At 34.3% G+C, this 14,064-nt stretch overlaps 1 protein-coding gene across 2 annotated transcripts in view; it reads left to right on the forward strand.

The window, feature by feature from the left end:
• CFAP54 (cilia and flagella associated protein 54) overlaps positions 1 to 14,064 on the forward strand; it is a 385,979-nt gene that overhangs the window by 134,809 nt on the left and 237,106 nt on the right. For both annotated transcript variants that reach the window (NM_001367885.1, NM_001306084.2), the window contains exons 29-32: positions 1,333 to 1,422; positions 2,428 to 2,554; positions 5,708 to 5,819; positions 6,166 to 6,266. In NM_001367885.1, the coding sequence (NP_001354814.1) occupies positions 1,333 to 1,422; positions 2,428 to 2,554; positions 5,708 to 5,819; positions 6,166 to 6,266 (430 nt within the window). The remainder of the gene's footprint in view (positions 1 to 1,332; positions 1,423 to 2,427; positions 2,555 to 5,707; positions 5,820 to 6,165; positions 6,267 to 14,064) is intronic.

Here is a 14,064-nt window from a genome sequence, read left to right on the forward strand (position 1 = left end):
AATAGTGTGAGTGTTGTTAATGTGTAAGTGGTTTGAACCAATGCCTTTCAGAGTAGAAAGCAGAGTGAAAGATTAGTTTAATTTTAGGTCGTTGTACTGTAGTAATTTCATAATAAACCAATGTGTTAATGCAATGATTGGTATTTTGGAGTTTGCAGCCTGGAAGGTTACTTGGGAAATTGAGTTAGTTTCTGGTGATGATTAGTATTGTCACATTTTTAAAAAGCAGGTACTTCAAATCTTCTAGAACAAGAGAGTATCCAAATTTGAGCCTTAAACCAAGTACGAGGCTCTACTTTTGCCCCATGGCCTTTGGGGATGAGGCTACACTTGTAGAATTCCATGTCCCTACCTCACCTTTCCTACTGTGTGCCTCTGTTCTATCTTGTGGGCTTCACTGACTTGGATCTCTCTCTTTTAATATGTTCCATGCCTGTTTCAAGCATGGATTTATGAATTGAACTAAGAATTTGATTATTCCCATAATTAGTTTACCTAGCTTTGGGAAAGCTGTAATCATCTTATTATATATATAAAGTATAATTCCTTAAAACATACAGTGTTCTAGAAATGTGAATTATTTATTTTCATAATATCAGTAAAAATATTTTACCAAGAAGCACAATGAGCTATAACTAGCTAAATAGTAAATTCTCCCTGGTGGTCTAATGGTTAGAAAAGGAATAGTAAATTCAAAAACAATAATAAAATGATAGTTTTGTACAGTGTTTTCTGTGTGCCAGTCACTATTTTACAAAATATACTATTTTTATAAAATATACACATTAAAACTCATGCAACCTGTATATAAGAGCCAGAAGAAGATACTATTATTATCTCCATTATAAAGATATGGAAACTGAGGCACAGAGAATCTAAATAACTTTCCAAGGTTTCATAACTAAAAAATGTCATAGTTAGAATTTGAACCCAGCCAGTCTGGCTCCAGCAGTGACTGTGTTATACTTTACTGCCTTTTAAAGATAATTTTGCTAAAATGGGGTAAATGTAATTGGTAGATTTCTGAGTCTTGGGTTTGCTGATATATGACAGCTGTTGAAAAAAAGAGAATCATGCCTTGGAAACTCTTTACCTATTTGGTGGTGGACCCCTTAGCTTTTAGGGGGAAAAGTGAAGCAAATAATTTCATCAGATTATTTTTATTTCCAAAATGTAATGCTATAATTGCTATTTTAAGGCACATAATTTAGAATAAATAGTATTTTCCTGTTTTGTCATCTCTTTTAAAGAATTGTTATTGTGAATTACTCAAAAAATTTGTATTTTGCGTTACTAAACAGAACATACAACTTTTGAATTTTTTAACCTTAGATGTTACATCTGAACTCTCAGGAGGAGAGGACCCTATATTTCTTTATCCTGTAGTTTTGAATTGGTCGGTCAAAGGTGCCGTGAAAGAAGGTAGGTGAACTGGATGTGTATATGCTGTTCACTCGATTTATCACTGAAGAGAATTAATTCTGTGGATTTTGTTTCTGTTGTCTGCTTGAAGATTTCACCTGTTTCAGGCAGAATATTTTGAATTCTTACCCACTCAGAATAATGCAGAATCCTGATTGCCAAGTAATGAAAGAGACCTAAAGAGGTACCTGATTTAAAGTCTGGAAAGACAGAATCTTGATGGTGGCTTATTTTGGTAGTGAATGGTGTTATTATGAAGCTTACAAAAACTAAGGCATTGAAAAACATATTAGTGGCTGGGCGCAGAAGCTCACGCCTGTAATCTCAGCACTTTGGGAGGCCAAGGCAGGCAGATCACCTGAGGTCAGGAGTTTGAGACCAGCCTGGGCAACATGGTGAAGCCCCGTCTCTACTAAAAATACAAAAATTATCCACGTGTTGGGTGGTGGGTGCCCGTAATCCCAGCTTCTCAGGAGGCTGAGGCAGGAGAATCACTTGAATCTGGGAGGCAGAGGTTGTAGTGAGCTGAGATCGTGCCACTACACTCCAGCCTGGGCGACAGAGTGAGACTCTGTCTCAAAAAACAAAAAAAAAAAAGAAAAAAGAAAAATGTATTAGTGAATTTCAAGTTTAGCTAATGAGAAATGGCAACATAATTGATTAATTCAGAGTGAAATATAATAAAAATTAGGATTACTAGTTATGATAATTATCAACAATTTTTCCCCCAGTTAGTCATACATTAGAAGTGACCTTAATGAAATCTTTCTCAATGCTGAGATATTTAGAAAATAAATTTAATATAGACTGTAAAGGATTCATTGATATTAGAAAAACAATAGTTCACACCACATTTATTCCTATATACTTTTTAAAATGGAGAAATCTAAAAAGCAGATTAATAAACTTGCCTGTTGGAACAAAATGACTGCTAGCACTGGCAACCCTTTGGTACTAATAATTGAGTATATTGTTAACTATATATGAACTTCCTTGTTATTACAGTTATGAAATTTAAGCAAAAACCAAGATTTCTGGAATTCTTTACACAAGTTATGCTAAAATGCATGAATGAGGAAAAATTTCATCTTATGGTAGAGGTAACAACTCCTGTCCATGACTTCTTGAAAAGGTACTTGCAATTATCAGTGTTATACATGTTAACAACTTTAAAAAATGAATATCATTGTCAGTTTTAAGAAATATAAGGTAGACGAAAAAGAGAGTGGAGTATATACAGTTAAAACCACTGCCTAAGAGATAGTGAAAATTCATGTCTGTGTAAATAAATAACTAAAAATAAAAATATATATACAATGTACTCACAAATGAGAATAGAGCATGTTCAGGTCTCTAGCTGGAAACAGATTAAGTCTTTTGCTATTGAGTCAGGATGGATAATAGTATCTCTAGGCCATCAGTTCTTTCTCACACAAGGTTTTGGCTCCAGTTTTGGTCATTTACCACGTGTTTGTAATTCTTCTATGGTAACAAATAGAGCCATTTCTTGAAGTTTCCATTTGTATATGTGAAGAGGGAGTTCCTCAAATAAAAGCAGTAAACCTTAAAGCTGCCCCTCTTATTCTCTAAGCCTGAATGATTCTCTTTGCTCCCAAATAAAATGATAGTGCTTCACACCAATTATGAGACATGCCAAATGAATCCAACTTTTCTTTTATCAACTGAGAGTGGGCTTTTCTTCACTGGGCATTGATCTGTCCATCCCATTTTAATAAAAGTAAACAGTAACATGAAACCTGTTTTTGAAATGGCAGCAAAAGAGAAGCATTCCCTTAAAAACATATAGAAAGATTTCTTCCTAAAATAGGTACTTCATTTATTAGAACAGAAGCTTAGAGTATATATATGCTTCATATTTTCAAAAGATAAAAGAAGAAATTGCTTATATTAAATGAAACAGGCCGTGATAATAACAGAATTGTTCAGAATTAGAGTTCTATTAAATTTTTTAAAAAATAGCTAAAATTAGATATTTAGGGGGGTTAAATAATGTTCTTGATTCCAAAGAAAAACAGAAGATACTTTCAGTGTACAGGCAAATGTGGAGGGCTGGCTGTGGAAGTCTAACTTAAGAATAAGAGATATTCTGGAAGAGGAGTATAAGATTATAATACTGTATTTATACTGTACTTTTTCCATGTTTGGATATGTTTAGATACATAAATACTGACTATTATGTTACAACATCGCCTACAGCGTTCAGTATAGTAACATGCTGTATGGGTTTGTAGTCTAGGAGCAATAGGCTGTACTATATCACGAAGATGTGTAGCAGGTGGTACCAGCTAGGTTTGCATAAGTACACTCTATGATGTTCACACAATGACAAAATTCCCTAACAAAGTATTTCTCAGAATGTATCCCTACCGCTAAGTGACACATGGCTGTATAAATAGTTAAAACAATGAACAACTCCTCAGTAACGCTGACTTGAATAAAAATTTTAAAATACTATTTATCAAAATGAAAAGCAGTCAGTCAGAGCTCCACAGAGCAGTGAACAGATCAAGGAGTGGAGGAGTTTAATTTATTCAATGGATGAAGGTTCTGCTGTGCGTGGAGGAGAATGCTGAGATGGTGGCAAAGACTGTAGTCTAAATGTGACCTCCTCTCCTTCCCATCTCTTTCTGGAAGAACATAACCACCAGGTCAAGCACCCTGGTAGTGAGGGAGAGAGAGAGGAGAGGCTGTAGAGAAGAGACGTAGCTGGTTGGAAATGGAAGGCAGTCTTAGGCTGCAAGTTGTGGAGGATGGCTCCCCAAGTCCCTTATGGTCATTGATCAAAGGCTTCTAATTTAGGCAGCAAAACATTTGCCCAAACGAATGTCAACTAACTGGGTGATTCTTAGGATTGTTACAGCTGAACCGGGGTTCCAGACAACCATGGGATTAGGATTATCTTCATCAAAACTGGAGCGAAGGGACCAAGATGGATTTGGGTCAAGTTCCAACCCCTGGAACTAGCTATCCAGGCTTACCCCGTCTTGTCATTAGCCTTGCATTAATAAGACCCTACATTTTATTCAAGTTTTGGGATCCCATTTATCATATTAAGCAGTTTTGCTGTACCTGGCTAGTACTTACGAAGAAATATAAATTCAAAAAAAAAAAATAGAAATTTCAGGAAAAATAGGCAAGTGTCAATAAAGGGACAGTGAGAGATGATAGTATTGGTAAAAGGTCCGCTCAGTTCCTGTTGGTATTCAGAGGGCAGCAGTGGCTGGGAGCTTGCAAAAGATGGAACCAAAGAGATTGAAATCTGTTGGAAGCAAGGAAGCTTGTCTAGGGTTACTTTTACAGTATTCTCTGAGTTATAAGGGAAGAAGTGTCCATCGTTACTTTATTTTCAATCCAGTTCTGTTCCATGTACATCATGCCTTCAACTCCTCTTTTTCCCTATAGAAAGCCCTATGGGAGCTTTTATTATACGATTATAATATACAACATATTCTCTATTATACACTGTATAATACATTTTATTATTATTTTTTTTGAGACAGAGTCTCGGTCTGTCGCCCAGGCTGGAGTGCAGTGGCGCGATCTTGGCTCACTGCAAGCTCCACCTCCCGAGTTCACACCATTTTCCTGCCTCAGCCTCCCAAGTAGCTGGACTACAGTAGGCGCCTGCCACCACGCCCAACTAATTTTTTTTTTTTTTGTATTTTTAGTAGAGACAGGGTTTCACCCTGTTAGCCAGGATGGTCTCTATCTCCTGACCTCGTGATCCACCCGCCTCAGCCTCCCAAAGTGCTGGGATTACAGACGTGAGCCACCACGCCTGGCCTATACATTGTATAATATATTTTAAAACTTATTTATTCAGTCTCCTGTAAATAGGCATTTAAATCTTCCTAATTTTTTATTATTATAAACAGTGCTGCAAAGAACATTCTTATACATGTGTCCTTATGCATGTGTGAGAGTTTCTGTAAATATACAGGGCTGTAGTTTCCAAGATATGAACATTTTAACATTAGTGGATATTGCTCAGTTGCTCTTAAACTTTTATCAATGTTGTGAAAAGTTTCTATTATTCAACATCTTCATTGATACTCACATTTTATGATATGATTTACACTTTGCTCTTTTGAGAGACCAGCTATTTCATGCTGAACAGAGATATCACAGTCAAATTGATGCATAGGACACAAGCAGTTTTAGATATTCTTGTATACTTTCAGTGAAAACTTTAAAGACATATTACTTTGGGGTAGTTCTGCAAATTTTTGCAGGTCTTTTTGACTGACTTTATCTTTTTTATTAGGAGAAATGAGTCTCTACTTGGACTAATAAAAGTGAAATATAAGGATAGTGCTTTGAATAAAAAAGCAAACAAATCTTTAAAGTTCAAAGCTGCAGTAATGGAAATTGGAAGAGTAAGTTTCCTATGAGTTTTGAATTTTAGGTAATGAAATTAAGAGATTCATGTATCTAGAGATGATTGGCTACATTTAAACTCATTATAATATGAAACAGAAGGATATACTAACAAGCATAATTTTATAATTACACAATACAACTTTTAGATTAACATGTAGATATTGTTATAATCAGATTTTTTTTGTCTACAGGGGTACTTCTGCTGCCTTTGATAGTAATTTTAATTGAGGATATAAACTACTGTATTTCAATGTCAAGAGATAAGCATTAGAGTATGAATAAATTATACTACTGTGTTCAAAGTTTAAATTTAACTTGTAACATTTTATCTCCTCTATTAAGAGTGCAGAAATGCAACAAAGAATAAGAAGTAAAAAAAAGGAAACTCTAAGAGATTTCATTTTTAAAAATCCGGCTATTTCTGAAATGGTGGCACATGAAAGGTATTCACTAATTAATTAATTCAATAAAAGTTTACTTGAGGGTAACTATGTGTTGGGCATTATTTTGGGTACTAGGGATACACTGGTGGACCAGACAGGTGAAATCACTGCCTTCAAGGAACTTACATACTAATGAAAAAAGCATAGTAAACAAGTAAACACCTAAATAAACAAGACAGTTAAAAATGGTGATAAATGTTATAAAGTAAATGAACTAATATAGAATATTTGGCTTGGCATGAAGGTGGTGGTGGCAATAGTTTAGATAGGGTGGTTAGGAGAACAAATTGGTAAATTATCAGTGAACCTAAAGTTCTTGATTATAAAATATATTATGGCAAAATGTTTAGTTTCTGTTTTTTTAAGTACACATTATAAGTACACATGTGTAAGAATTTTTTATTCTTATACATTCTTTATATATCTTACCTTCATTATCTAATGTTTTTCTATACCTGTTTAGTGATTTTGATTTTAATTTACACCGCATAGATATTAATAGAACCAATTCCACTTTGTTTTTATTTGCATTTGCCTACTATCTCTTTGATTATTCCTTCATTTTCTTTATTTAAATTATGACATATTTTTAGATAGGTATAAAAATAATATAACAACTATGCAACTTAACATGTAAAACCTTTCAAACACAGTTGAAATCCCTGTGTACCCGTGTTGGTATGCATTTCTGTTTTCCTCTATCCTGGAAATAATACTATGCCAAAATTTCGTGTTTATTATGCTGATGAGTGAATTCATATGTCAACCACATATGTATGTAGCCCCAAATAATGCATGCTGTAATTTTTTTCCAATTTGCTTTGGAAATTTGCCTTTTTTCTCTCAATATTATGTTTGTGATTTTTTGAAATGTCACTTATACGTAAGTCTACTTTATTAATTTCACTGCTGAATGGTATTTCATTATATACTAAATATCATATAATAAATTATATAATAGTGTAATGCGTTACATTATTGTATACATATTTCTGTGTGCATAATACTACACATAAATATAAATAACATAATTTAACATGCATAAACAATATATATTATGCATATATCATATAATATATATTATATATTGTATAATAAATTTTTTAAATGATTTATTCAGTCTCTCATAAATAAACATTTAAATTCTTTCTAACTTTTCACTGTTTTAAACAATGTTACAAAGGACATTCTTGTATATGTCTCCTTATGTATGTGTGAGAGTTTCTGTAGGGTAAATACACAGCGTTGCGGTTTTCAAGATACGAACATTTTAGCATTACTAGATATTGCTAAGTTGCTCTTAAATTTGTATCAATGTTGTGAAAAATTTCTGTTATTCAAGGTCTTCACCAACACTTGACATTATTATCACATTTTTGTGGAACTATGTGGTATGAAATTTTATCTCATTGTTTCAATTTTCATTTCTTTGATTCCTAAGGTTAGGCATCTTTTCATATTTTTATTTGGCCCAAGGGTTTTTCCAGTCTCAGGACTGCTTGTTTGTATCCGTTGCACATTTAAAAACTTTTGTTTTCTTATTTAATTTTATAAGTTTGGATGCTAATGCTTCTCCCAGTTTGTGGCTCATCAGTTCACATTTTAAAGTTTTTTAATAATTAATTCAAAAGTTTTAATTCTTAATGGAGTCAAATATATCAATGTTTCCCTTTATTGTTTTGGAAATTCCTAATCTGGGATAGTAAAGATATTCTCTTTGTAAATTTAAATTTTTGATTTTCACATTTAGGAATTTCATTAATTTGTTTTTGCGTATGGTGAGAAGATGAGTCCCTTTCACTCTTTTTTTAGTTTTGTTGCAGGTATTCAGTTGGCCGGCACAATTTATTGAGTAATCTATTCTATTGTCACTGTTAACTTTATCACTTAACAAGTTTTCATATATGTAGCTTTGGGATCTCTTCTCTGTTTGATTAGTCTATTAACTTATTCCTGAGTCAATATCAAACCATCATAATTACTCTAGTTTTAAATTGAGTTTTGCTGTCTGAAGAACAAGTTTCTCCAGAATATTCTTTTCCTTCGTGCAAGTCTTGGGAGTCTTGGGTATTCTTCCACAAAATGGAATGGTTTTTTGATTAATACAAAAAACTCTATTATGATTTTGATAAAGATAGAATTGAATGTATGTATTGGTATAGGAAGGTTTTTAAAAATTATTTATTTATTTATTTTTACACTGTTGTGTTTTTCTGTTAGTAGACAGATCACTTTCTTAGGTCTTTAATGCCTTTCAATAAATTTCTATGATTTTCTCCATAACCGCGTTATATATCTTTTGTTAGATACATCAAGGAACTGTTTTTTGATATTAGTGTAAATTATATTTTAAAATTACATTTTTGAATTTTTCTATTCTTTGTATAGGTGTATAGTTGATTTTTTTGCGTACTGATCTTCTAAACAACTTGATAATTTATTTGTAGATACAGTTTTTTTGTGTGTGTGTGGACAGTCATAATCTGAAGAGATAATGTTTTGCTTATTCCTTTCTAATGCTCCAGCCTCTTCTTTCCTTTTCGTGTTTAGCCTACAGGCTAGGACTTCGAGTTTAATCAGGAAAAGAGTTTGTGATTGTGGACATCCTTGTTGTAACATGCATATTTAAAACTTTCTTATTTCCAGATAATTATAGATGCATGTGCAGTTATAAGAAATAATACAGAGAGATCCCATATACCCTTCATCCAGTTTCTAATGATAGCTGTACAACTATAGTACAATATCACAACCAGGAAATTGACATTGATATAATCCACTGACCTTATTTGGATTACAGCAAGTTTGCATGCACATGTGTGTGTGTTTGTGTGTCTGTGTGTATATTCTATGCAATCTGTAGAATTTGTATGACCACCACAGTATGTAACCTTTTGAGGCTTTTTGTTTCACTTAGCATAATTCCCTTGAGAGTCACCCAAGTTGTGTGTATCCACGAGTTCACTTATTATTGCTTAGTAGTATTCCATGGCATAAATCTTCCATAGTTTATTACCATTTACCTATTGAAGAGCATTTAGATTGTTTCTAATCCAATAGCATTTGACTATTAGGAATAATGCTGTGATGAACATTCATGTGCAGTTTTTATATAAACATAAATCTTCATTTCTCTGTGATAAATACCCAAGAGTGCAATTGCTTGGTCGAATAGTAAGCATGTTTAATTTTGTAAGGCATCCTCCACTCTTTTGCAGACTGGCTGCACATTTTTACATTCCCATCAACAGTATATGAGTGATCTAGTTTCTACTCATGCTTTCCAGCATTGAGTATTATTACTGGTTTTTAAATTTTAGCTATTAAAATAGGTGTGTAGTGATATCTCATGGCCTTAATTTGCATTTCTCTAATGGCTAATGATAGCGAACATCTTTTTTTTTTTTTTTTTTTTTTTTTTTGAGATGGAGTCTCACTCTGTTGCCCAGGCTGGAGTGCAGTGGCGTGATCTTGGCTCACTGCAACCTCCGCCTCCCCGGTTCAAGTGATTCTCCTGTCTCAGCCTCCTGAGTAGATGGGATTACAGGCATGCACCACCACGCTTGACTAATTTTTGTATTTTTAGTAGAGACGGGGTTTCACTATGTTGGTCAGGCTGGTCTTGAACTCCTGACCTCACGATCTACTTGCTTCAGCCTCCCAAAGTGCTGGGATTACAAGCGTGAGCCACCGTGCCCGGCCAAACATCTTTTTATATGCTTACTTGCCATCTGTATATCCTCTTTAGTGAAATATCTGTTTATGTCTTTTGCTCATTTTCTCATTGGATTGTTTTTATTTTTCTGTTGAATTTTGAGAATTCTTTATATATTCTAGATACGAGGCCTTTGTTGCATATGTTATTGGCAAATACTTTTTCCCAGTATGTGGCTTGTCTTCTCATCCTCTTCACAGATTCTTTTGCAGAGCACAATTTTTAAATCTTGATGAGGTCCAGCTTATCAATTTTTCCTTTAATGGGTTGTGCTTTTGGTGGCAAATCTAAAAACTTTTTGCCTAATCGTAGGTCCTTTTTTTCCCCTGCTAAGTTTTATGGTTTCATGTTTTCCATTTAAGTTGTGATTCATTTTGAGTTAATTTTTTGCATAAGATGTGAGGTTTAGATTGAACTTCATGTTTTTACCTGCGGATATCTAATTGCTCCAATGTCATTTCTTGAAAAGACTATCCTTCTTCCATTGAATCACTTTTGTACCTTTGTAAAAAATCAGCTGGACATATTTGTGCAGATCTATTTCTGAGTTCTGTATTCTGTTCCATTGATCTATGTGCCTCCCTCTGCCAATACCACATTCCCTTTCTTGATTACTGTTGTTATAGAGTAAACCTTAAAATCAAGTAGAGTGATTCTTTCCACTTTATTTTTTTTACAAAGTTGTTTTAGCTACTCTAGGATCTGTACCATTTCATATACATTTTAGAATAAGCTTGTCTGTAACACGAATTTTAAAGATCTATTTCTTGTACCATTTCATATACATTTTAGAATAAACTTGTCTATAATATGAATTTTAAAAATATATTTATTGTTTCCCTTCTAAGTACCATATTTGCTTTGGGATTTGGGATGAAGCCCTTTATCACATTTAGGAAATTGTCTTCCATTTTTTATTTTCTAAGAGTTTTGTTATAAATTAAGTTTAATTTTGTTGAATATTTCTTTTTCATTGATTTTTTTCTTCTTTAATATGATCGTGCGATAAACTACATTATTACATAAATGTTAAATGATGTGTAGTATCTTTTTGCTCATACCACTCACTTCTGACACAAACCATGTGGTGTTTTCCAGCACCAACCAATTCTCCAGCACCAGCGGGGCAGCCCCATATGCACTTCATGGAATTTCTCCTTAGGATAACATCCTGTATAACTATAGTACAAAAAGACAATTAAATGCTGACACTGTCGACATACAGTTAGCAGCACATCCCACAAGTTAAAGGGCTTGGTTCCACAACACTGCCACCACTTCAGAGGCCACTCACAAATGTGATACCAGGATACCCACACTTCTGCCTAGCTGACTATAAATTCAGAGATTCCCTCCTCAGGTTCGAAAATTTGCTACAATAGCTCACAAAACTCAGAAAAACACTTTAAATGTTTACTAGCTTAATATAAAAGATACAAATGAATAGCCGCATCAGAAGGTACATACCAAGGGCAAAGTCCAGACGGCTTCTGAGCACAGGAGCTACTGTCCCTGTGGAGTTGGGAGCACCACCCTCCTAGCTTGTGGTTGTACCTACCTGGAAGCACCCTGAACCTCCGAGTTCAAGACTTTTCATAACCTGGCTTGCAGCCACCCTCCCCTCCAGGAGGTGGGAGGGGTGGGGCTGAAAGGTCTCACCCTCTAATCATGTGTTCAGTGATGATTAAGATAACCTATATCCTGAGGCTATCTAGAGGCTCTACCCTGAGTCGCCTCCTTAGCATAGACTTACATAGGTTCCACAGGGACTTTCTGTGAGTAACACATTTCTTTCACTCTGGAAATTCCAAGGGTTTGAAGACCTCTCTGTGCCAGAAACCAGGGGACAGGTACCAAATATGTATTTTTATTATACCACACCATCCCTGCACATTTTTACTAACAGATTCAATTTCTTTGAGATTACTATGTCTCTTTGAGTCTGTAATCTTTTTTGAGTTCCTTTTGATGAATTATATTTTTCTAAAAAATTGTCCATTTTATCTAAAAAATTATCCATTTTATCTAAGTTTTCATATTTATTCATAAAAAGTTATACTCTCACATTAACTTTTGACTCTCTGCTATATCTATAGTTACATCCTGTGTTTCATTCCTAAATTCATTAATCTTTGTCTTCTCTCGTATTTTTGTCATTTGTTTTGCCAGAGGTTTGTCTATTTTTTAGTCTTTGCAAAGAACCAAATTTTGTCTTTGTTGATCCTTTCTATTGTCTTGATTTTCTTTTTCATTACCTTTGCTTTTATGTTTATTACTTTCTATCTTCCTTTTAAAAAACAGCTTTATTGGCAGGCGTGGTGGCTCATGCTTGTAATCCCAGAACTTTGGGAAGGTGAGGTAGGCGGATAACAAGGTCAGGAGTTTGAGACCAGCCTGACCAACGTGGTGAAACCCCGTCTCTACTAAAAATACAAAAATTAGCTGGGTGTGGCGGCACACGCCTGTAATCCCAGCTACTCAGGAGTCCGAGGAAAAACAAACAAACAAACAAACAAAAAACAGCTTTATTGAGATAATAAGTCACATGCCAACAATTTACCCCAGTGACATACTTCAGTGGCTTTTGTTACAGTCACAGAGTTTAATCATCACCCCACTCAATTTTAGTACATTTTCATTTACCCAGAAAGAAACCCGGCACCCCTTAACTATCACTCCCTCACATCCAACTCCTTTCCCTCAGCTTGAGGCAACCATGAATCCACTTCCTGTTTCTACAGATTTGCCTATTCCGGCTGTTTCACGTATGTGTAATCATATAATATGTGGTCCTTTGCCACTGGCTTCTTTCACTTAGCATCGTGTTTTCCAGGATTATCCATGTGGCATGTCTCAGTATTACATTTCTTTATTGCTGCATAATATTTCATGGTATGGATACATCACATTTTGTCTATCCATTCATCGGTTGATAGACTTTTGGATCAGTTGATCCACTTTTTGGCTATTATAAATAATACTGCTGTGAACATTCATGTAAAGCTTTGGTTTAGACATATTTTCATTTCTCTTGGGTACCTACCTTCTTTCTTTTGGCGAATTTAGTTGTTCCTTTTCTAACTTTCAAAGTAGAATGCTTACCTCATATAATCTTGGGATTTTCTTTTGGTGGAAATTGACAAACTGATTATAAATTTTTGAGAAGTGCTACAGTTAGCTAACAACTGGAGAATGACTGTTGTTTTTAATCATGCATAGAGTATTTATACTATTGGCTCTAAAGCAAGTCTCAAGAAATTTCAAGTAATTGGAATCATATGAACCATATTTTATTACAATGCAATTAAGGTAGAAACCAATTTTTGAAAAGTTAACCAAAAAGATTCTATACATTTAAAAATCTGAAGGAGAAACTGAAAAATAATTAATGAGGAAAGATTGAAATTACATTCACGTGTTGCATAACATTTTGATCAATGATGGACTGCATGTACAACGGTGGTCCTATACAATTATAAAATCATATTATCACCATACCTTTTCCATGTTTAGATGTACAAATACCATCTTGTCATAATTGCCTACAGTATTTATTACCCTAATCTGCTGTAGAGGTTTGTAGCCTAGGTGTGTAGTAGGCTATACCATTTAGGTTTGTGTAAGAACACCCTATGATGTTCAAACAACAATAAAATAGCTTAACGAAACATTTCTCAGAATGTATCCCTGTCATGAAGTGACACACACTGTACAATGGTAATTTAAAAACAAAGAACTTGCTGGAAGTACAGTTGGGATTGCTTTGAATCCAGAAAACATAAACATTTAAGTTTTCTTCTAAATATTTTAGCTGCATCATATATATATATATATATGCATGTGTGTGTGTGTGTGTGTGTGTGTGTGTGTGTGTGTATATATATATATATTTATTTTTTTTTGGTTATCCAGGCTGGAGTGCAGTGGTACCATCATAGCTCACTGCAGCCTCAAAATCCTGGGCTTAAGCGCGATCCTCCTACTTCAGTCTCCTGAGTAGCTAGGACTGCAGGCATGTACCACCACACCTGGCTAATTTTTTTTTTTTTTAATTGTAGAGATGGCCTCGCTATGTTGCCCAGG

This window comes from Homo sapiens, chromosome 12 (genome assembly GCF_000001405.40).
Source record: "Homo sapiens chromosome 12, GRCh38.p14 Primary Assembly".
Lineage (NCBI taxonomy): Eukaryota > Metazoa > Chordata > Mammalia > Primates > Hominidae > Homo > Homo sapiens.